The sequence below is a fragment of the Homo sapiens genome, chromosome 3, assembly GCF_000001405.40.
Source record: "Homo sapiens chromosome 3, GRCh38.p14 Primary Assembly".
Classification (NCBI taxonomy): domain Eukaryota; kingdom Metazoa; phylum Chordata; class Mammalia; order Primates; family Hominidae; genus Homo; species Homo sapiens.
Genome location: NC_000003.12, coordinates 23,880,713 through 23,905,547, shown reverse-complemented (window position 1 = coordinate 23,905,547; position 24,835 = coordinate 23,880,713). Strand labels below are relative to the sequence as shown.

General features: G+C 41.6%; 2 protein-coding genes across 31 annotated transcripts in view, besides 1 other annotated feature; one reads left to right on the top strand and one right to left on the bottom strand.

The window, feature by feature from the left end:
• The window catches only part of NKIRAS1 (NFKB inhibitor interacting Ras like 1), a 56,612-nt gene extending 41,015 nt beyond the window's left edge, over positions 1-15,597 (top strand). For 24 of the 27 annotated variants that reach the window (NM_001377380.1, NM_001377365.1, NM_001377363.1 and 21 more), the window contains 2 exons: positions 4,499-4,740; positions 12,211-15,597. In NM_001377380.1, coding sequence (NP_001364309.1) covers positions 4,499-4,740; positions 12,211-12,453 — 485 coding nt within the window. In that variant the 3' untranslated portion in view covers positions 12,454-15,597. Of the gene's footprint in view, positions 1-4,070; positions 4,188-4,474; positions 4,741-12,210 lie in introns of all 27 variants that reach the window. The other 3 variants (NM_001377371.1, NM_001377370.1, NM_001377369.1) reach the window with 3 other exon arrangements.
• Positions 13,908-24,835, bottom strand: part of UBE2E1 (ubiquitin conjugating enzyme E2 E1) — an 85,686-nt gene continuing 74,758 nt past the window's right edge. For 3 of the 4 annotated variants that reach the window (NM_003341.5, NM_182666.3, NM_001202476.2), the window contains 3 exons: positions 17,849-17,981; positions 16,289-16,436; positions 13,908-15,039 (listed from right to left, as the gene is read on the bottom strand). In NM_003341.5, the coding sequence (NP_003332.1) occupies positions 14,942-15,039; positions 16,289-16,436; positions 17,849-17,981 (379 nt within the window). In that variant the 3' untranslated portion in view covers positions 13,908-14,941. Of the gene's footprint in view, positions 16,437-17,848; positions 17,982-24,835 lie in introns of all 4 variants that reach the window. The other variant, XM_005265431.6, reaches the window with a different exon arrangement.
• Positions 22,184-22,768: an enhancer, noted in NCBI's record as "H3K27ac-H3K4me1 hESC enhancer chr3:23924271-23924855 (GRCh37/hg19 assembly coordinates)". NCBI's record gives its function as "activates a minimal SCP1, AML or CMV promoter by ChIP-STARR-seq in naive H9 embryonic stem cells {active_cell/tissue: H9 hESC(naive)}" and the evidence as "EXISTENCE:reporter gene assay evidence [ECO:0000049][PMID:30033119]".

Here is a 24,835-nt window from a genome sequence, read left to right as displayed (position 1 = left end):
GAAAATATACGTGATACATTTTCTGAGGCTTTGCATGTTTGAAACTGTCTTTATTTTACACTAACATTTGAATTGTAATTTTGATGGGTATGGAACTCTAGGTCAAAAATAATATACTTTCGGAATTTTGAAAGCATTGCATATATGGTTTAATAATTATAAGACAAACCTTCACATAATCTCCACATGGATCAAAAAGTACAACATTGAGGACAGGCCAGTGGCTCCCTGTGTTCCTCTGTCCAGTTGCAACTCATTCCTTCCCTTGACTTTTGGTTAATCATTCTTTTTATTTTTAATTGCCACATATGTGTGTCACTAAATGGTCTAGTTTATTTTTTGCCCTATGGATTTTCTATGAATTAAATTAATCCATGTCTGGCTTCTTTTACTCAACATTATATTTGTAAGACACATCAGGCCAGGCATGGTGGCTCACCACTGGAATCCCAGCACTTTGGGAGGCCGAGGTGGGAAGATCACTTGAGCCCCAGAGTTTGAGATCAGCCTGGGCAACATCAGGAGACCCCATCTCTATTTAGAAAAAAAAATAAAAGATTCATCCATTTTGCCGTAGCTGTGGTTGTTTACTTTTCATTGATGTAACATTCTATTGCATGAAACTACCTCTGTCTGTTAGGTCTTCATGAACATTTGGGTTATTTTCCAGTTTGGAGCTATTGGAAATAATGCTACTCTGGAACATTATTGTACATGTATCCTGGCTATTATGTGATAAATTCTGGTATACATATCTAGAAATTGCTGATTCATAGAAGGTGTGTCTCTTTAACTTTATCAGCTTCTATTGTCTTCTTGCTTCTAGTGCTACTTTTGAGAATCTGGGAACCATTATGATTCTTGATGCTTTGTCTGTGGAAACTTTTTTAGGCTCTCTTCTTTGTTCTTAGTTGCTGTGGTTTGAAGGATAGTGTCTCCTCCAAAATTCATGTTGAAACTTAATCTCCAATGTAACAGTATTAAGCACTGTGGCCTATAAGAGGTGATTAAATCATGAGGGCTCCACCCTTCACCTTCATGAGGACTAATCCCTCATGAAAGATTAGCATCCTTATAAAAGGGCTTGAGGTTGAAGGGAGTGCTCTCTTGCCCTTCTGTCTCTCCCACCATGTGAGGACACAGCATTTGACCCCTCCCAAGGATGCAGCAACAAGGCTCCATCTTGCAGTAGGGACTGTGCCATAACAACACACCAGACCTACTGGCACCTTGATCTTGGACTTCCCAGCCTCCAGAACTGTGAGAAAGAAATTTTCTATTTATAAATTACCCAGTCTGTGGTATTTTGTTATAGAAGCACAAATGGACTAAGACACCAGTGTTCTGAAATTTCAGTGATGCGTCATAGAATTGATCTTTTCTTTTCTTTCTTTTTCTTTTTTTACTCGGGTTGGAGTGCAGTGGCACGATCTCAGCTCACTGCAGCCTCCGCATCCTGAGTTCAGGCAATTCTCCCACTTCAGCCTCCCAAGTAGCTGCAATTACAGGTGCGCACCACCGTGCCCAGCTAATTTTTGTATTTTTAGTAGAGATGGGGTTTCACCATGTTGGCTAGGCTGGTCTTGAACTCCTGACCTCAGGTGATCCGCCCACCTTGGCCTCCCAAAGTGCTGGTATTACAGGTGTGAGCCCCCGAGCCTGGCCAGTCTGTTTTCATTTACTGTATTGGACACTTAGAGGGCCCCTTCTATATGGAAATGCATGTTCTTCAGTTTTGAATTATTTTGTTATTGCTTTCTTTCCTCTGTGTTCTCTGTCCTTGTTTTCTGGAACTCTCTTTTTGGATGCTGGACCTTCTGGACTAGTCCTTGAATTTTCTTATTGCCCCTTTCCTGTTTATCATCTCTCAATATTTTTGTACCACTTTTTGGTAGATATTCTTATCTTTATTTTCCAGCCCTTCTATTGAGTTTTTGTTAGTATCCTGTTCTTATTTCATGGATGTACTATCTTATTTTTTTGATAGATTAGGTAGTTTTTTGTTTGTTTGTTTTTGTTTTCTTTTCTTTGTATAGTTGGTTTCTCTGTAGCGGTCTCTTCTTGTTGGTCTCTATTTTCTTCAGGTGTCTGCTAAACCTTGGTTATCTGTTCATAATTAAAAATGGACCCCTAGGCCCAGTGCAGTGGCTCATGCCTGTAATCCTAGCACTTTGGGAGGCAGAAGCAGGCAGATTGCTTGAGCTCAGGAGTTCAAGACCAGCCTGGGCAACATGGTGAAACCCCATCTATACAAAAAAATACAAGAATTAGTGGGGCTTGGTGGTATGTACCTGTAGTCCCAGCTACTTGAAGGGCTGAGGTGGGAGGATCGCTTGAGCCCAGGAGGTTGAGGCTGCAATGAGCTGAGATTGTCCCACTGAACTTCAGCCCAGATGACAAAGTGAGACCCTGTCTCAAAAATAAATAAATACAACTTAAAAAGCCAATTGGAAGCTCTAAGCATATGGATAGGGTTCATGACTTAGAGCTTCACTAAAGTGATCTGGCAGGGGCATTTATTGGGGAAACCTAGATGTCAGTATATTTAGGATTTTTTCCTTTTCCGTTGGCCAGATTCTCCAGATTCCCCTGGATGGGGATAAAGAGCTGGCTGCCAGTGTTTTGGGAGCAGAAAGGGAAAGCCGGAGGACTTCAACATTCAGTATGTGTGTGTGCGCAGGCATGTCACTTAATTGCCCTGTTTTCATGGTGGAACTCATTCCCTTTATCCCACAGTCTAGACAGCCTCTATTTTATACTCCCCAGAGATTGCACCCTTAAGCCTTCCCCTGGTGTGCGAGATGGGTAGTTGCCCAGCAGCGTGGAGTGGGAGAGGAAATCTAGAGAACTAGTGGAAGACTCTTGACTTCATTTGATCTTTAGAGTACCAAAATATCAAAAGGTCTAAACTTTAGACCCCCTTTTGGAGAGGCAGGTGGAGGTGGGCTAACCGGACTGGCTTTTGGTGGATAAAAAAATCACATGACAAAATGCTTGGTAGTTTTTGCTTTTAAATTAATTTGTAATCAAAGCCCAATACGTTTGTGTCTTAATAGATAACCTTTAATTTCCTTAGGGCTTAATTTATGACAGGATGACACAGACAGGTATATACATAATCAGATTTATGAATAATTTTACCTTTCTAAACACTGAATACATTCCTTATGAGTTATGTTGATGAAAGTAAATTTTTGGTTTCTCAATGATCCAATCTATGTATTACCATGTGATTATTCCTTTTAATCTAATACTTGTGGAGATTTTATGTAATCTAATACTTAACGGACATTTCATGTAAGGCATCTGGAACAAATCATTCTACAGTATTTAGGTTGTTTAGGAAAACTGTAACTAGTTTAAAAAAAACTATAACATAGTATGATTGGGGGGGGTATAGGATGTTATCCATGTGATTTTACCTCTGGATGTATCTCACATTCATTTATTTTTATTTTTTTATTATTATTTTTTGAGACGGAGTCTTGCTCTGTCATCCAAGCTGGAGTGCAGTGGCATGATCTCGGCTCACTGCAACCTCTGCCTCCCAGGTTCAAGCAATTCTCCCTGCCTCAACCTCCTGAGTAGCTGGGATAACAGGTGCCCGCCACCACACCCAGCGAATTTTTGTATTTTTAGTTGAGATGGGGTTTGGCCATGTTGGCCAGGCTGTTCTTGAACTCCTGACCTCAGGTGATCTGCCCACCTAGGCCTCCCAAAGTGCTGGGATTATAGGCGTGAGCCACCGTGCCTGGCCTCATATTTAAATATGGAGGTGGTTACTGGGACTATACCTTACCTGTCTTATCACATGTCTCTCCACTACTTATTAAAATTAAGAATGTTAATCTTCTCCCTTTAATTCCTTTATCAGTAAGGGCTTATTGAATATTTGCTGTGTACACAGAATGGTTCCTTTCACTTAATAAACTTAGAGACTAGTTGAAGAGATAAAACTTGCACAAATGAAACAAAGTGGTAAAATGCATTTTTAAAAGATCATAAACAAGAAGGGGATTTTTATTTTTATGCAGAAGAAATATTTTTTAAAAGAATTTTGTTTACGCCAGGTGCAGTGCCTCACACCCGTAATCCCAGCACTTTAGAGGCCAAAGTGGGTAGATTGCTTGAGCCCAGGAGTTCGAGACCAGCCTGGGCCACGTGGTGAAACCCTGTCTCTACAAAAAGTACAAGAATTCACTGGGCATGATGGCACCTGTAGTCCCAGCTGGGAGGGACTACTTGGGAGGCTGAGGTGGGAGGATCCCTTGAGCCCAGGTGGCGGAGGTTGTAGTGAGCTGAGATCGAGCCACTGCACTTCAGCCTGGGCAACAGAACAGGACCCTGTTTCAAAAAAAAAAAAAAAAAGTAAAATAGAAATGTGATTATTATATGTGGTAAATAAGAAACCTAGAAAGCCAATTTCTAAAGGACAAGAAAATACGGAGCAGTTGACACTGACTTAGCCAAAAAGAGTAATTTGTTTTCTTAATCCCAGGAATGGAAGATTGCGAAACAATGGAAGATGTATACATGGCTTCAGTAGAAACAGACCGAGGAGTAAAAGAACAGTTACATCTTTATGACACCAGAGGTCTACAGGAAGGCGTGGAGCTGCCAAAGCATTATTTTTCATTTGCTGATGGCTTCGTTCTTGTGTACAGTGTGAATAACCTTGAATCCTTTCAAAGAGTGGAGCTTCTGAAGAAAGAAATCGATAAGTTCAAAGACAAAAAAGAGGCAAGTGGATATGTTAAAAATGCCAAATGTGAATTATAATACCATTTAAATTATAGCACAGACTTTTGGGTAGTTTATTTTCAGATCATTACAGTATATTCTTAGTATCTGTAAAACCTTTACAATTTTTTTCTTTTCTTTTTCTTTTTCTTTTTTTTTTTTTTTTGAGACGGAGTCTCGCTCTGTCTCCCAGGCAAGAGTTGAAAGTGCAATGATGCGATCTTGGCTCACTGCAACCTCCGCCTCCCGGGTACAAGCGATTCTCCTGCCTCAGCCTCCCAAGTAGCTGGGAATACAGGAGTGTGCCACTATGCCCGGCTAATTTTTATATTTTTAGTGGAGACAGGGTATTACCGCGTTGGCCAGGCTGGTCTTGAACTCCTAACCTCAAGTGCTTTGCCGGCCTTGGCCTCCCAAAGTGCTGGGATTACACGTGTGAGCCGCTCTGCCTGGCCTAGAATTTTTTTCTTAACCCAAGAAATACAGGTCTGACTGAATTTAGTTAGGACCAGAATTTGACTTTCTGCCTTTTGCTTGTTACCATCTACAAGTTGAATTTTAATGACTTCTTATCTCAAGTACTACATAATTCATTTTATGTTCTTTGGTATTGCTGTTTCCTTGGGTTTTTGTTTTTGTTTTTTTTGAGACTGAGTCTCTCTCTTTCACCCAGGCTGGAGTGCAGTGGCACGATCTTGGCTCACTGCAACCTCCAACTCCCAGGTTCAAGGGATTCTGCTGCCTCAGCCTCCTGAGTAGCTGGGACTACAGGCGTGTGCTACCAGGCCCAGTAATTTTTTGTATTTTTAGTAGAAACAGGGTTTCACCGTGTTAGCCAGGATGGTCTCGATCTCCTGACTTTGTGATCCGCCTGCTTCGGCCTCCCAAAGTGCTGAGATTACAGGCATGAGCCACCATGCCTGCCCTCCTTGGGCTTTTTATTATCTCCTTGGGTACATAGGATTCTTGTCTTCAGGCTTACCAAAAAAAGAAACCTAATAATTATTGGATTCTACCCATATACCACTTAAACATAAGATTCATATGCCTTACAGTGGTCTGTAAAGATTTAGATTACCTGGCCCATGCCTGTCCTTTTCATCTCATCTTTATTATCTGCCTGTCTCTCACTATACTCCAGTGACACCAGTCTACTTTCTGTTTTTTCAACATGATAGTTTTGTTTTCCTATTAAGCTTTCTCAATTGCTTGTTTCCCTGTCTGGAACTCTCTTATCTCAAATCTTTCTCCAGATCTTCACGTGGCGGACTCTTCATTGTCTAGGAAACCAGATAATATACTGATTAACAGTACTGGCTAGATGGTAGAAAAAAAACAAAAAACAAAACAAACAGCAACAACAAAAAGTACTGGCTAGATGTTCTTAACTTAGATTTTTGCATATTTTTTGTTAAGCTTTTTATTTTGAGACAATTATAGAGTCACATGCAGTTTTAAGAAGTAACAGAGAGAGATCCCTTACCCAGTTTGCCCCAGTGGTACCATCTTCAAAACTCTAGTACATCATAACCACCGTATTTGTGTTGATTCAGTCAAGACACAGAACGTTTCCATCACCACAAAGATCCTTCATGTTACTCTTTTATAGCTGCCCCACTTCCCTCCCATCTTCACCCCCACCTTAACCCTTGGTAACCACTCATCTGATCTCCATTTTTATAATTGTGTCATTTCAAGATTGTTATATAAATCAGTGGTCCCCAGTCTTTTTGGCACCAGGGACCGGTTTTGTGGATGACAATTTTTCCACAGATGGAGATGGGGTGGTTTGGGGATGAAGCTGTTCCACCTCAGATCATCAGGCATTAGATTCTCAAAAAGAGCATGCAACCTAGATCCCTCACATGTGCAGTTCACAATTTGATTCTCCAGCTCCTGTGAGAACCTCATGCCACTGATGTGACAGGAGGCGGAGCTCAGGTGGTAATGCTTGCTTGCTCCCTGCTCACCTCCTGTTGTGTGGCCCGGTTCCTAACAGGCCCTGGACTGGTACCAGCGCATGACCTAGGGGTTGGGGACCCCTGATATAAAAGAAATCATACAGGCCAGGTGCAGTGATTCACACCTGTAATCCCAGCATTTTGGGAGGCCGAGGTGGGCAGATCACGAGGTCAGGAGTTCGAGTCCAGCTTGACCAACATGGTGGAACCCCGTCTCTACTAAAAAAATACAAAAATTAGCCTGGCGTGGTAGCACACGCCTGTAATCCCAGCTACTCAGGAGGCCGAGGCAGGAGAATCGCTTGAAACCCGGGAGGCAGAGGTTGCAGTGAGCTGAGATCATGCCATTGCACTCCAGCCTGGGTGACAGAGCAAGACTCTGTCTCGGAAAAAAAAAAAAAAAATCATACAATATGTAATCTTTTGGGATTGGCTTTTTTTACTCACATATCCTCTGGAGATTCATCCAAGTCACTGCATGGATCAGTAGTTCATTTCTTTTTCTTGGTGAGTAGTATTCCATGGTACGTACCAAACTCTTTTTAACCATTTATCTGTTGTAGGACATCTGGGTTATTGATATTTTATTTAGAATACTAATTTACTTTATGAATAGATAACATATTCACAAGGTTTTGAAAAGATGTAAGAAGTCATGAAAGCTCCTCTCCCCCGTATTTCCCATCTTTCCCACCGAAACAGGCAAATGCTGTAATTATTTACTTGGGTATCCTCCAGAGACCCCTCTCTGCCCCACAAAAGTTGAAAGGTCAATGAACACTCACGTACTAGATACTTAAATCTTGGCTTTGCTTCTCAGCTTTTCTGCTTCAGTTTCCTTATCTGTAAAAGGAGAATAATAGTAACTTCCTCATATGCTTCTTCAATCCCCATAATCGTATTAATTCCGTGAATGCTTATTTAGCAACTACTATGTGCCAGGCATTGTTCTAGGTACAGGGAATGTGGTAGAGAACAAAACAGTCCATATCCCAATAAAGCTTCTATTTTGGGAGTGAGAGAGACAGTAAATAAATATATTTAATACATTACAATGAGTGATGCTATGTGGAAAAGCAGAATGGGGAATGAGGGTGCTATTTTCTGTAGGGTGACTTTAGCAGATATTTGAAGGAGGTAAGGAGGGAGGGAACAAAGCTGATGTCTGGAAGGAAGAGTGCTCCAGGTGGAGGGAATAGCTAGTACCGAGGATCTGAGGTCGGAATTTGCTTGCCATGTTCAGGAATCGGCAGTGAAGCCAGAGTGGGCTAGGAGGTGTGTTGTAGGTGATGGGGGCACTTTGCCTTTCACTTTTAGTGAGATCAGAAAGCACTGGTTTGGGGCAAAGGAATGACATGATATGGCTTAAGTTGCATTTATTTATTTTCATGTTTGGTTTTAAAAAATTGAATAAGTAATGTTTGCACATGGTTCAAAAATGACAATCATATGTAAAAAGGACTGTGTTCAGTCTGGTTCCCACAGCTGTCCTCAACCACCAAGATCCTGTACATTAAGCATGCTTTTTAAAATATTTTACCCCTTTATTAGTTTTGGGGCAGTCATCCAGAGTTTCTTTATATAAATGCAAGCAAATAGGAGTATACATTAAAAATATTTTTCCTCCTTTTTTTTTTTCCCTATTTCAGACAGGGTCTTGCTCTGTTGCCCAGACTTGAGAGCTATGGCATGATTGCAGCCTAAAACTCCCAGGCTCCAGTGACCTCCTGCCTCAGTCTCCTGAGTAGCTGGGACTACAGGAGTACATCACCATGCTTGCCTAATTTTTATTTTTATTTTTTTGCAAAGACAAGGTCTTGCTCTGTTGCCCAGGCTGGTCTCCCAACTCCTGGCTTCAAGTGATCCTCCTGCCTCGGCCTCCCAAAGTGCTGGGATTATGAGTGTGAGCCACCGTGTGCCTAGCCTTTTTTCCCTTTCTCACACCAGGTGGCATACTATCCTGTACCTTCTGTTTTTCATGTAACATATCTTGGAGTTGTTTCCATATCAGTACCCAGATTTTTTTTTTTTTTAATTGTAGAGACAGGTGTTGTTATGTTGTTCAGGCTAGTCTTGAACTCCTGGTCTCAAACAGTCCTCCTTCCTCAGCCTCCCACACTGTTGGGATTACAGGTGTGAGCCACCACACCCATCCACCCACCCCTGTTTTTTTTTCTTGGTAACTAATGTATAATATTCATCCTGTGGCTATAGATGTATCATCCTTGTTTTTTTTGAGATGGAGTCTTGCTATTGCCCACGCTAGAGTGCAGTGGCATGATCTCAGCCCACAGCAACCTCCGCCTCCCAGGTTCAAGCGATTTTCCTGCCTCAGCCTCCCGAGTAGCTGGGATTACAGGCGTTCACCACCACACCTGGCTAATTTTTGTATTTTTAGACGACAGGGTTTCACCATGTTGGACAGGCTGGTCTCAAACTACTGACCTCAGGTGATCCACCCACCTGGGCCTCCCAAAGTGCTGGGATTACAGGCATTAGCCACCATGCCCGGCCGTTTGTTTTATTTAGATAAGATTGTGTTTGTATGCTAATGGGAGAAAATTGATGATGAGGGGACTAAGTGCTGGAGTGACACCCTTGTCCGGGTGAAGGAGGATGGGTTTTAAGGCAGAGCAAATGGGCTTGGAAGATGGTAGGTTGTTAGATGTGGTGGCGGAAGAATGTGGAAGTTTTTTTTTTTTTTTTTTTTTTGAGATGGAGTCTTGCTCCATCTCCCAGGCTGGAGTGCAGTGGCATGATCTCGGCTCACTGCAAGCTCTGCCTCTCGGGTTCATGCCATTCTCCTGCCTCAGCCTCCCAAGTAGCTGGGACTACAGGCGCCCGCCACCATGCCCGGCTATTTTTTTTGTATTTTTAGTAGAGATAGGGTTTCACCGTGTTAGCCAGGATGGTCTCAATCTCCTGACCTCATGATCCACCCACCTCCACCTCCCAAAGTACGGGATTACAGGTGTGAGTCACCGTGCCTGGCTGAAATTCTCTTCTAATTGCGTATCTTACTGAAACAATATGGTCATCAGGTGAAAGGAAAGTGGGGAAGGAAGAGGAGATACTGGAACTTGTAGAAGGGCACCAAAGGTATGCGATATCTCATTACAGAGTAAATGGAGAAAATGTAATACATTTGCCGGAGAACATCAGTTCATTTGAGATCAGTGGTATGATCTGGGCCAGCAGGGTTGTATGTTTTTCTCCAGCCATATTCAGCTAAATGGTGTAGGCACAGAGTCTGGTTAATAGTTAAATTTAACAAGGGAGGGGTTTTGCCGGGTGAATATGGTGGGATAATGGGGGCAAGGGAGTGAATAAAAATAATCTAAGCTGGGTAGGGAGGAATTAAGGACATGAGTGGGGTGGAAGGACAATGATAAAGGTAGTAGAGCCAGTAGGTTGTACGTCCTTGTGGTGTTTGGAATTCTTGCAATGGGGGCATTAGGCATGACTGGGAAGGCAGGAGTCAGAGTGGGATGCCTGGAACTGAGATCATAGAGAGCAGTTACAATGTCAAGGTCTAGGCTGGATGTGGTAGTTCACGCCTGTAATCCCAGCACTTTGCGGAGCTGAGGCAGGAGGATTGCTTGAAGCAAGGAGTTTGAGACCAGCTCCAGCAATAAAGTAAGACCCCATCTCTAAAAATTAAAAAAATAGCTGGGCAGGCTGAGGAGGAGGATCACGATCGCTTGAGCCCAGAAGATCAAGGCTGCAACCAGCTATGATCAAGCCATTGCACTCCATCCTGGGTGACACAGAGAGACCCTGTCTCTTTAAAAAAAACAAACAAAACAAGGTCTAGGATATGACCACGGGAGTGGTGAATGGCTGAGGTAAGGATGATGAGACCATTGGAGAAGTCAAAGAATAAGAGACCAGGTTACTGGAAGCAGCATCTACGTGGCCAGTGAAATCACTAAGAATTATGACCAGAGTAACGGCGAGAGCAGGTTGACCATGAGTCAGCTCTGTGATGAGGAGCAGTTGGGGGGCCGGCCTGGGATTAGTAGGTACAACAGACTGATAGCATCAGCTTTCTGCAGGGGTTTTAGAGAAGGACACCATTGGAGGTAGCACTGAGGGACAAGGAGGACATCTTACCCCAACCTTGTGGTAGTGGTAGGAGGGGAGTGATAGAGGAAGCAGGACTGCAAGGCAACTAGGAAAGGTGAAGGAACATTCAAAGCAGAGGTGGAGGACGCAGAGGTGGAGGATGCAGTGGGGGTTAGTCTTGCTGAATTCTAAGGGGTAAAGTGAACGAGTTTCTGCAGTTGGGAGGAGAGGGAGATGGAGGTCACAGTAGGGGGAGATACATGAAGATGAAACCCTGGGTGATGAAGAATGACAGGAGGGCTTGAAAGATGAGATAGAGTATGTGATTCCCCTAGAAAACTGGAGCTCTGGCCCACTTTCATCCTGCCAGCAAGGCATGGCCTTACTGGAGCACAGGGAGCTCAAGCTCAATGTACAGACAGGAAGGAAGACAGTAGTGGTTCCAAGATCTGATGAGTTCACTGCTGCTCCTCAGAGAGGCCTTTGACAGTTCTTGCTGCCCATTGTCTACTGTCACATCGTCTTGTGTAATCTTTACGGGCACTATCTGAAAATCTGGTTTGGGGTCTCTTCTCCTCCCCGAGCTTTGACTGCTGTATTCTGTCACGCGCAGTGTCTGGTGTATAGTAAGCATTCGTGTAAAATGTTCCTATTGGCACATACTTTTTTTGTTTTTGGCCCATACATTTAACAGACACTTAGCAGTCACCTTTTTAGTATTGTGAATAATGTGAACACAACAATTCCTGTTCTCATGGATACAGAACTCCCACAGCTCCAGCTGTCTTGTTTTGAAGTACTATGTTGCAAATCTCTCATACATCAAGTGTAGCCAAACTGAAATGCAGACTCATTGAAACCAGTCTGTATCCTAGATGCCAATTTCCCAAGTCCATCTTCCATTCATACCTGAGCTAATTTTTTTTTTTTTACAGTTAGCAAACTACAGAGCATCTGCATTTTTTTTTTTTTTTTTTTTTTTTGAGATGGAGTCTTGCACAGTCACCCAGGCTGGAGTGCAGTGGCGCCATCTCGGCTTACTGCACCCTCTCTGCCTCCCGGGTTCCAGCGATTCTCCTGCCGCAGCCTCCCAAGTACAGGCGCACACCACTACGCCTGGCTAATTTTTTTATTTTCAGTAGAGATGGGGTTTCACCGTGTTGGCCAGGGTGGTCTTGAACTCCTGACCTCAAGAGATCCACGAGCCTCGGCCTCCCAAAGTGCTGGGAATATAGGCATGAGCCAGCACGCCCGGCCGAGCATCTCCATTTTTAACAAAAATGCATTAAGGAGTAAGGTGAAATCCTAATATCCAGTCACACTTGAGAATCAGTTTAATGAAGCAGGTTTGTTAAGTGGAACAATTTTCCTTATGTCTCCATTTTGCCCAGGAACTGATGTTGGCAAAGTACTAGTATGATCTTTTCAATCCGTTTTCTTTCAGGTAGCAATTGTGGTATTAGGAAACAAAATCGACCTTTCTGAGCAGAGACAAGTGGACGCTGAAGTGGCACAGCAGTGGGCAAAAAGTGAGAAAGTAAGACTGTGGGAGGTGACTGTTACAGATCGGAAAACTCTGATTGAACCATTCACTTTATTAGCCAGTAAACTTTCTCAACCCCAGAGCAAATCAAGCTTTCCTTTGCCTGGGAGGAAAAACAAAGGGAACTCTAATTCTGAGAACTAAAAATCAGTAATTTCCACAATTGTATGTTGAATAGTGATTGCCTTTAAGTGTCTGTGAACATGGAGTAATATTACTATTTAAAATAGGCCATTTGTATCTACCTTTGGTCCTTAGGAAAATTCCTAAGGAAGTCAATTAATGCACTTTAGATGTTAAAAGTATTTGGGCTAAGGTTATTATTGCCTGATATGAAATAATATATTCTTATTCTCATTGTTTGAAACCTGTCTTTGAAATTAGCACCTTTGTTATTTATGTTGTACTTGTGAAAACAGTAAAATAGTTTGGATAGTTATGCAAATGCACCTATGTGTAACTTCCCCCCAACCCCAAGCTGTTTCGGAAGATATCATAATCATTCTGTGTAACATTATGCAAACTTCTAAGCCCAAACATGACTTTGTTTTTAAAAAGTTCATTAATCTAATGTCTAGGATTATAAAACATTTTTTTGTGTCTAAATTGGACCCAAAACATTGAACAGTTTGGGGTAGTAAGCTAAATTTCATCTTGTGGAGATTTTGCTAAACAGACTAAGACCCATGATTTAGCTTTGCTCAAATTAGAATGTTTAGCATGAGTTGAGGTACCAGGTAGTGTTAAGTAGGTTCATCACGCTCTAAGGCCGTTTTTTCCTTAGCCAGACCCCTGTTGATAGACCAGATACTTGAGGGCAAACTGTTTGCTCCTCCTCTTGAAAATGATTAGGCACTTAAGGACAGTAAAGCTGTATTTTCTGGAAGGAAGACTGTATCTTCTGGAATAGTTTTCTAGAAAACTAGTCATATACAATAAAAGTATCAAAAATATTGGGCTCTAATTTGATCTGACTTAGATGTCTGAGTTTGTGTTGTTTCTCTAAAGATTTTGGCAAGACTCAAGCAATGTGGCTGACTGTAACTTTATTAATTTAAAAGGTAGGAAGTAAGCTACTTAGTGGTTTCACCTGTGAAATAACTATTTTGACTGAAATGTAAAATAAGCTATTCAACAAAGAACATATTAAAACATCAAGTAATTTGTAACATCTTAAATGGAATACTTTTTTCATGAGCTCTAGTGAAGAACTACTACATATAAAAGACGATACTTACAAATCAGCTATTGCTGCTACAGTATAATTCTTCAAAATTTCTCATCATAAATTCATTTTTTGGTAAAAAAAAATTACCAGACACTAACTCACCCCCTTACCCTTTTCCCCCGGTTATTGAATATTAATCTAGCTTCCCACCCATGCATGTTACATAGATGGACAAATGCTTTCATAATGATTTTTAAATAAGTACCTTCCAGTTTGCTTTGTTTCCTACTAATGCAACTTAGTCTATATTAGTACAAACAGTTACCAATTCTTTTTAAATTCTGTAATGAATGTATGTGTATCCAGATAAGTTTCTCTGAAAGAGACATACAGAAACAGAACTGCTGGGTCAGGACATGTACTGCCAAAATGCCCCCTAAGGCAGGGTACCAATTTATCCATGACGGAACCCATTTCTCATGTACTTGCTACTACAGCATCTGCAAGTCAGAAAATGCTTTTAAAAAGATGCAGTAGGGTTCGTCTTTGAAGCCTAAATGGGGTAGATTATTTAACCTTTTCTAGGATACCTCATCTACAGCTGTGTAAAGTACAGATCCTAATATAGGTAACTAACTAATACCTACTAAATATGCATTATTTTTAGCTTGTTTTAGAAGCAGATACCTATCGATTTCAGAAGAATCTGCGAATGGCAACCAAAAGGCAAAAGAAAAGTAAATGAACACAGCAGTGTTTATTAGGTGGTTTTTAATATTGTTTATTAGCACAGTAACAAATGCAGACTTAAGTAGTCCACAACATAGAACCAATCCACTGAGCAACTCCTATTCCACGCCTTACAGTTAGTTAACAGCTTAAGGTATTTCACTACAGGTTTTCACAAGTCCTGATTCAGACCTTTTTTAAACAAAGTAGATTGGCATATAAAATAAAACGCACTACTCATCTCTTATATGGTGTTTTATAGCCACGTGTCCATTTTATATATATGAGATGACAATCTCTAAAAACTCTGTTAAATATCAATGTTCCCTTCCAAGAAGGGAAAACAAATTCCAATTTTGTTTTAAACAAAAAGTATGTAGTCTTAGAGGGACTTTACATAAATGGCCATATGTGTAACCTGTACCAAATTAAGCTGTTTTAAATTTACAGACTACAAGCAACTGAACCCAAATGTCTAAATGTACATTCTTTTCTGTACTACATTTCAGCTAATATTGCAGAACTAATGACAATTTTAAAAGTTGCTATTACCAATTCTGTCTACTGTAGCAAGATACCTTAAGTTACAACAAAATCTTAGGAAATAAGACTGAATAATATCTGTTATAGAAATACCCTACTCTTTACCAACTCCCACCCTCCCTGACCCCTTCAAAATCATAAGCAGCTCTCTTCTGTGACAGACAAATAATGTAAGAATTGTGAAACCCCAATTTATGTAGCGTATCTCTTGGTCCACTGTCTGGCCATTCTGTCATGTTCTGCTCTGTTGGTCATATACTGAGTGGCAATACTTCCCACCAAGGGGTCGGCTGGAAGAAAAGAATGTAGATTACTTTGGAGAAAGGAAAAGAACATTTTAAACTTTAGCGAATAGTGACAGCTTGGGTAGATACGTACGACAAAGTATGTGTGATCAAACCCATCTTCGAAACACCACTCCACCATGCTGGATATTTTTCCATCAAAATTTCAAAAAAACATAACGTTGGGGGAAGAGGGAATGCTTAGGCTTTAGTGTACTGGTCTGTCTTTATCTTAGTTCATTCCATTTTTCTCCCAACAAACAACACTCAATTGGAGTTTCTTTACTCTTATGTGTTAGGCTGAGTTCAGTAGAGACTGGAACGGTCAAGGCTTCAGACTGCAATGAACATCCAGCTGTGTTCATGTGACCCTTAGCTCAATGTCACCAGTTAACGGCATTGTGAATACTGTGAAGTCTTCGGGGCTGTTGCAGTGCAACACTATTAACCTTTACGCTGGTTAAAGAGCCAGGTTGCCAGGCAAAACCTGGACCTCCAATTAAGTATAGTATTTCTCTGAATCTTAGGATCTTTAATAAATTTATATTTGGTTTACCTAGAAAATATATTTGTCTGTGTGTGTGTATATATATACATATGTGTATATATATATATTTTTTGAGACAGGGTCTCGCTTTGCCACCCAGGCTGGAATGCAGTGCAGTGACATGCTCATGGCTCACTGCAGCTTTGACCTTCTGGGTTCAAACAATCCTGACACCTCAGCCACCCTAGTAGCTGTGACTACAGAAAAATATTTTTTAAATGAAATGAAGTCCCAAAAAAGTCACAATTCAATAGTCACTAAGTATTTAACAACTACCATTTTCAAAATTGAGTGCCATCTCAGTGACCAGCTATGGGACACATGCTCACTGAACCCCAGAGGCACAGGTGAGGCTTGCCAGGCAGATGACTCGACATTTAGAAGTGTCTGATTTGTTTTATAAGAACTCTATGGGAAATTAAGCAACAGGAAAAAAAAAGGAGGAAGAATAATTGAAACTAAAAGCCCAAGGCAAACTTACGTCAGTCTTCAGTTTAAAATACCTTGTTGCTAGAATATACTGATTAATGAAGTTGTGTGTCTCAACTAGTAGACTGAACTTGATTAAAACTTTCTTTTGAAAAGCCGATTAGTTTTTGTATTCACAAACTTGTGCAGAAAAATTAGTTTTGTCCTTTGAAAGCTTTTGGAAACAAGTATTTTTCAGGTAAGGAAGAATAAAACAAGGTAAAGAATTATGAACCTTACCAGGATTACAGTCTGTAAGAAGTGAGCAGATAGAAAGGAGGACTTTAGAAATGGTTAGTGCTGGACTCCAATTATCTTTCAATATGTCCAAGCAAATAACACCTTGACTGTTAATATTACAATGATAGATTCTTGTCCGAAATGTAACCTAAAAAAAACAAGTGACAGACAATATTTAAACAGCAAACAAACTTGTTACTAAATATTCAACTGAATGACCCTTAAGAAGGTGACTAAAAGCAGTTTTAATTAAAGCTGTCAAGAAGATAGACAATAAATTTGATTAGAAAGTGTTCATTGATACCATCTCAGGGACTGTGTCAATTTCATTTAAAATGTTATGTCCACTGACGGTAAGTTCAGTACTTCCTAATTTCATCTTTAGCAATTTTAAATCTTTTAAATATTAACATTTCCAAGTTTGAATAGCTAATTGTTTGCTGACCTCTTGTGTTAGCTGGTAGTACTACACTGCCTCAAAGTAAGCTTTAAAATACTGAGAATCATAAATACCTCTTAAAAACTGAAGTGCAACATAATGGGTACATAAAGATAATTAAACAACATACTTAGCAAACAATGACTACACCCAAAAGGCTGAACAAAATTTGAAGAGAAGTCTATTTCTGCTTTTTTCTGACCGTTACATCAGGTCCTATAGACATCCTGTCTACCTACATCACAGAATTTACTATTATATAATCGAGTGTCCATGGATGCAGAGCCAGTAATGGGCAAGGACCACAGCAGAACACAAGTCACATAAGCTGGTGTTATTTGGGTCTCTTAATTTTTATTTGTGAAATATACCAAAACACAAAGTAAAAATTACCTGTAATTTTACCAATTTTTTAAAAAAGTGACTTTCGATTACTTCTTGTTGCTGCAGTTGTACTTTTATCTGGCAGTCTACCTAATCCCCAAGACGGGGTTTTCTTTCTGACTGAATGAGAATCATAGATTGAGTACAGGAGATGGGTGACTTGGGCAATCCTCACCTGTCCTAGAAAGAAAACTGAGGCCTGGAGGTAAAGGAACAAGACCAAAACATGACAGGGAGCACAACAGAATCCAAAGCTTTGGGAAGAGATTCTGATTCTCTAGTTGTTTGGCCCCCTGACCTGCCCTGCCTTTTTTTGGGGTCTTGCTTTGTTGCCCAGACTGGACTCAAACTCTTGGGCTCAAACAATCCTCCCAAGTAGCTGGACTACAGGTGCACACCACTGCACCTGGCTTGACACCATTTTTAACCTCGAGAAAGGTTCAAAAACATTTCTCTATGGGCTGGAAAACAGGGGATTAATTCTAGGTTGCTGACAATATTACTATAAATAGCACAATTTTAAGCACCATCAAAACAAAGCACTTAATCCTAGAATGGTCTCTGCCAGATAAGGCAAAATCAACCTAAAGAAGTGTTTTGTATATGTTAAAATACTCAGATCTATTAGGACATAAGATAAATCTAGTTTCTGTGATTAAAAATTAAATTTAGAAAAACCTCAACAGTTGCTCTCTTGTGGGAATTAGTAAATTTGAGCATACAGGGAGATTTCTTACCTTTGGAGGCTTGAAGGGATATTCTGGTGTAAAAGTGATATCGAGAAAGAATACACCACCCTCATACACGGATCCTGGAGGCCCTAGAATGGTTGATCTCCATTCATAGATGTTATCGCCTTTGGGACCAGCACTGTGAATAATACGTCAACAAATAAGCAGATGGTGGCACTATCCCAATTTTTACAGTGTATTAAAAGAGATGGAAAGATTACCTCTCTCCTCTCTTTTGTTTACTGTGTGGATTCTCTTTACAAAACAAGTACAGAAACGGATGCAGAACTGCAACAAACCCATAGCCATTGGTCAAGCAAACTGGATGATAAAAGAATGTTAAAACCATTCTAAGCCTACCTAGCTACGAATAAGCAGGAAACTTTCCTCAATTCTCAAAACTCTCCTGGACACGTAGGAAAGTGTAAACAATACTTAAAATGGGAAACACATCTCAGCACCTAGAAGCGAAATTAGTGACAAATGCGAGCAGTTTTTGCTCACAGCTACATCACTTATGACCATTTTAAGCACAGAAGTTTCATTTTCTGACCCACTAACTGGCTCTTCCTTGCTCTTCTATCTCCATAATCTCACCTTTAAAAGAATCTAATAGATGGTTTATAATGTAAAAAGTATGTCCATGTTAGGTGGGAGGAGAATGGTAAGTATCCAGTTACAGGTTATTCAATTTTCATTTCAATGTGTATTCTATAATTGGGTTCTCTAAATACTAATACTTGAGACATTCCTCCAACCCTGTTAGCTGTTATCATAAATCACTGTTACATACACTTGGGTACACCATAATTTGGCCACAATACCATTCTAAAGCATTGTGTTGGCTTCTAGAGTGCCACCGCACCCAGCAAAACTACTCTTTTAAATAAATGTACGATGTGAATTGGATTTATTCACTCACTTACTGAATGCCCATGTACTAGGCAGAGGGTTAAATGTCAGGGGTTTTGATGCTGAACAAGACAAACTCCTTCAAGATGCCCTCTGCTAACTGGTTACAAAGTCTGATGCCTTCATTTAAGAGACAGAAGAGATGAAGAGGGAGGGAATAAAAAGCCTACCCATGGGCCTATACTTTCCCCAAACCCATCACAGGTTTTTCTTTTGGTCTGAAATTTGGTGTGAGAGATGCAACAGGTTAGGGGAATGAGCTTATTACAAAGGAAAAGCAGAGGAGAATACAAGTTGGGGAAGAAAACATGACATGGCAAAAAAGGAGGGAGAAAATATGGGCAACCGAATAGCGGGTAATGGGAAGAACAGGGCCCAAACTGGCCAAGAGGCAGAAAGAGCTCGGACACTGTCCACCTCACAGGAATGTTTTCAGAATTAAGTGAGAGAAAGAAGGAAACTGTAGAGCAACACACCCATGGGTATCTCTCATTAAACGGCAGTGATCACCATTATTATTAATTCTTTAATATCTCTTTGTGATGGGTATTACCAAAAACTATTAAAAACTTGTTTTATTTTTTATTTTTGAAACAGAGTCTTGATCTGCTACCCAGGCTGGAATGCAGTGAGTGGCATGATCTCGGGTCACTGTAGCCTTGACTTCTAGGCTCAAGTGATCCTCCCACCTTAGCCACCTGAGTAGCCGAGACTACAGGCATGCACCACCATACCTGGCTAATGTTTTCTATTTAATTTGTGTAGATGGGGGTCTCTCTATGTTGCCCAGGCTGGTCTTGAACTCCTGGGCTCAAGCAATCCTCCTACCTCAGCCTCCCAGAGTGCTGGGATTATAAGTGTAAGCCACCAAAAAGTTTGTTTTAGATACAGAGAGAGTTTTTTTGTTTGTTTTGTTTTTTTTGTTTGTTTTTTAAGGCGGAGTTTTGCTCTTGTTGCCCAGGCTGGAGTGCAATGGCACGATCTCGGCTCAATGCAACCTCCGCCTCCCGGGTTCAAGCGATTCTCTTGCCTCAGCCTCCTGAGTAACTGGGACTACAGGCATGCGCCATTATGCCTGGCTAATTTTGTATTTTTAGTATAGATGGGGTTTCACCATGTTGGTCAGGCTGGTCTTGAACTCCCGACCTCAGGTGATCCGCCCGCCTCGGCCTCCCAGAGTGCTGGGATTATAGGTGTGAGCCATCGCACCCGGCCAGAGATTTTTTAAACATTGTCTACACCATGAAGTCATACTTTGTGTTTAAAAAAGATGACTTCATAGTTTTACACGATATCTGATGGCAATTTTCACAAGGTGGAATGTAGGGAGAGCTCTTAATCAGCCCTCTCCCTCTGGAAACAGGCAGAAACTTCTCCAGTGAAATGATATTACCATTATTGCTTCATTTCCTGAGGTTAGAACCGGTTCTTGGTCATCATAAGTTTGCCTACCTGCCTACATGTTTGCATCCCCTCGAAACTTTTATGTTGAAATCCTAATCCTCAATGTGACGGTATTAGGAGGTGGAGCCTTTGAAGGTACTGGGTTAGGGGGTAGAAATCCTCATGAAAAGGATTAGTGTTCTTAAAGAGAACCTCAAAAGCTCTCTAACTTTTCTCTACCATATGAGGATACAGCAAGAAGACAGTTGTCTGGAAACCAAGAAACGCATCCTCACCAGACCTGAAGCTGCCAGCACCTTGATCTCATATTTCTAGCCTCCAGAACTGTGAGAAATAAACTTCTGTTGTTTATAAGCCATCCAATTCATGGTACTTTGTTATAGCAAACTGAAGAAAGTCTAGAGACACTGGCTGATACAGCTATGACACCTGGAGTGCAGTTAATGAAAAGTGGACTATATATGAAAATAACACTAATACAGGGGTTGCAGATAAAGGGGAATGCTCTTTTATCTAGTTTATGGTAAACACTTAAAGGCAAAAGGCTACTCTAAAATCTTTTTACAGATGAGGAACCAAGGCCAAGAGTTCATTCACAGAAGCCAGGCTCTCTAAAATCCAGTACTGACAATATTCCAAGCTGCCTCCTAGAGGCAGGAGTCGTACTGTTCATGTTCAACTTGGTAGTGCTAAGAAACCAACCTAGAAAAAAACAAAAGTGAGGGCAGTCTAGGCCCTAGAGGTGACATGTTGGCATGGGCCCAATTCTGCTGGTCCTTTAGTATACAAAAAAAATAAAGGTTTACCAGTATGTCACTACATGCAGATTTATGGATTGTACAGAAAATTGGTGATTCCCAAATTTCACTGTGCATCAAAATAATCGATGGAACTTTAAAGACTAAAGATTTCTAGACCCCACCCCAGGCCCGATGATTGAGAATATCTAGAGGGGACCCAAGAATCCATATATTTAAGTGCCCCACCCACAACAATGACCTTTAAGCAGGTAGTTTGCATTTGGGAACCACTGCTACAGGTTACTAGTGGGACAACCAGTTAGGAGCATAAGTTTGAACATTTTACAGTTTGTCACCTGTGATAGCTTATCACCTGTGATATAACCAGAAATCCAATTAAGATTGCTATCTCTCTAATCTGTTTGCAATTTAGGTGTTAATTTTTTTGAAAGTTCAGAAAAAAGTAGACAAAACAGAAAAGAAATCAAGTACAACTACATAATGACAAAAAACGTATTACACTTGTATTAAACTTCAAAACTGGAGAATAAAGGTGCAATATAACATGAAAATAATTAAATGCTAAGTGAAATAATATCAAATGTAGTTGACCCTGAAGAAAATGCAGTAGTGAGGGATCCCTAACCTGTGGGCCCTCAGGAATTACTGTGAATGGTCTTGAGAATCCACTGGAAAAGACCAAGCATTGTTACCTGAATATCAAACTTTTTTTTTTTTTTTTTTTGAGATCTGTCACCCAGGTTGGAGTGCAGTGGCATGATCTCAGCTCACTGCAACCTCCCCCTCGTGGGTTCAAGCGATTCTCTTGCCTCAGCCTCTGGAGCAGCTGGGACTACAGGTGTGCGCCGCCATGCCCAGCTAATTTTTGTATTTTTAGTAGAGCTGGGGTTTCACCATATTGGCTAGACCGGTCTCAAACTCCTGACCTTGTGATCCGACTGCCTCAGCCTGCCAAAGTGCTGGGATTACAGGTGTGAGCCACCATGCTCAGCCCTGAATATCAAGTTTTAGATAGTCACTTAAAGCTGCTATTGGATGAATTCAGGTAGCTTTTTATCATGTGTACTTTCTTAATCAGAGAATAAAACAGAAAAATTCTGATGCAGGGGCGTACAATTTTATTTGTTTCCTAAGTTCTCATTGGAAAAGTTAGGATCTGCTGGTCTACAAAGTGGGCAGGCAGTCCCATCCCCAGGGGTGGAGGACAATATTAACAACTCTATAAGAAGGCCAGTGTCAGAAGAATAGGGAGTAAGACTCAGCTTTACTTGAGGCTGTTCAAGCATCCCACCTATTTCTCGATAAAATGACTGACCAGGTTTGCCCTCAGGTCACCTAAGTACACCCTTTAATAATCTCCTGTCTCCTCCAGAAGATACTTTTGGTTCCACAACAAGAAATACAACTTTAATTTTAAATACTGGTTGAAGTGTACCATAGAATGGTATGTAATTTAAATTATTAATCCAAATGATTAGAGTATGGAAAATCCTGAATTGGGAAAAGGAGGGTTGAAATTGATACTAAAGAAAAGATGGGGAGAGGTGACAGCATGCTGGCAGCCCTCGCTCGCTCTTGGTGCCTCCTCAGCCTTGGTGCCCACTCTGGCCGCGCTTGAGGAGCCCTTCAGCCCCCTGCTGCACTGTGGGAGCCCCTCTCTGTGCTGGCTGAGGCTGGAGCTGGCTCCCTCTGTTTGCAGGGAGGTGTGGAGGGAGAGGCGCGGGTGGGAACTGGGGCTGCGCGCAGTGCTCATGGAACAGCGAGAGTTCCGGGTGGGCGTGGACTTGGCAGCCCCGCACTCGGAGCAGCCGGCCGGCGCCACTGGCCCCAGGCAGTGAGGGGCTTAGCACCCCAGCCAGCAGCTGCAGAGGGTGCGCCTGGTCCCCCAGCAGTGCCAGCCTGCCAGCAACAGGCTCAAATTCTCGCCAGGCCTCAGCTGCCTCCCCGTGGGGCAGGGCTTGAGACGTGCAGCCTGCCAGGCCCGAGCCTCCCCTCCACCCCTGCAGTGGGCTCCCACGTGGCCTGAGCCTCCCCGATGGGGACCACCCCCTGCTCCGCGGCTCCCGGTCCCATCGCCTGCCCAAGGGTTGAGGAGTGTGGGCGCACAGTGCGGGACTGGCGGGCAGCTCCGCCCGCAGCCCCGGCACAGGATCCACTAGGCAAAGCCAACTGGGCTCCTGAGTTAAGTGGGGACTTGGAGAACTTTTACGTCTAGCTGGAGGATTGTAAATGTACCAATCAGCATTCTGTGTCTAGCTAAAGGTTTGTAAATGCACCAATCAGTGCTCTGTGTGGAGCTAATCTAGTGGGGACTTGGAGAACTTTTGTGTCTAGCTCAGAGATTGTAAACGCACCAATCAGCACCCTGTCAAAGCAGACCAATCAGCTCTCTGTAAAACCAATCAGCTCTCTGTAAAATGCACCAATCAGTAACATGTGGGTGGGGCCAGATAAAGGAATAAAAAGCAGGCTGCCAGAGCCAGCAGTGGCAACCTGCTCAGGCCCCCTTTGACACTGTGGAAGCTTTGTTCTTTCACTCCTTGCAATAAATCTTGCTGCTGCTCACTCTTTGGGTCCGCACTGCCTTTGTGAGCTGTAACACTCACCGCGAAGGTCTGCAGCTTCACTCCTGAGGCCAGCAAAACCACGAACCCACCAGAAGGAATAAACAACTCCGGACGGGAGGAACGAACAGCTCCAGACGTGCTGCCTTAAAAGCTGTAACACTCACCACGAAGGTCTGCAGCTTCACTCCTGAAGCCAGCGAGACCACGAACCCACCAGAAGGAAGAAACTCTGAACACGTCCGAACATCAGAAGGAACAAACTCCGGATACACCATCTTTAAGAACTGTTAACACTCACCGTGAGGGTCCGCGGCTTCATTCTTGAAGTCAGTGAGACCAAGAACCCACCAATTCCGGACACAATGGGAGCAGAAAAGTACATTTCATAATTTTGCATTAAGTCTACCCTGTCTTCACCTGAGCACTTATTTTAATTGGGATTCTCTAAACTGGGTCATCTCAGTTTTGTGTAACATGATTTTTTAAAACCAGCCAACCAAAGTATGATTGGGGTTACAGAAATAAGTATAAGACTGTGCCTTTTTAAAAAAACCCACTTATCCGTGTTTGAAGACATTGAAATTTAACTGTGATTAGAACCTCTGCATGAGAGGATGTAACTGAGGAAGTGAAGAGACCATGCCTATACCTTTCACATTTTTCTACACAGAGGTTTAAGGTTTATTTGTAACTAAAAGCACTTTTCAAAATATAAGCAAATACATACAAGGCAAAAAGAAAAAGATAACATAGTTTTTTCTTCTAATCAAAATAAATATTACTCTGATACAGATTTTAAGAAAAATGAGTAATTTCTACTTTAACACAATATTTTCTTCTTTCTATAAAGGATTCTGACTTCACACAGGTATGTAAACAATAGGAGCGGGGATGGCCATGAGCCACGACACTTCTGTCATACAGGAAGCTGTGTCTGTTAACTGATAGGAAACTCTCCATTGAATAAACGCAATTAACAAGGACTCACTTCTGACAGCTTTTCCTACAATCCTGGAGACATTTTCCCCCTAATGACCACTGGACAGCGTGGCTACATATCTTATGCCTCAATATTATATTGATAAGTATACAAAGTAAAAAACTATCAACTGGTAGTAACTTTTGCTTTACACATATACAGTCTTAAACAGCATCTGCACAGTATAAACTGTACTACAAATCATTTGAGGTATTAACAAACCAACTGTCAAAGACTGTCATTAGCACAGTCTTACTAGAATCTGTTGTGTTCCCTGGACTGACTTAAAATCTTCCAGGGTAACTCCACAAAGTAACATTCATGTTTTCTTTTTGTTTTAAAATCATGTTTTTGTGAGTCTTTCCCCATT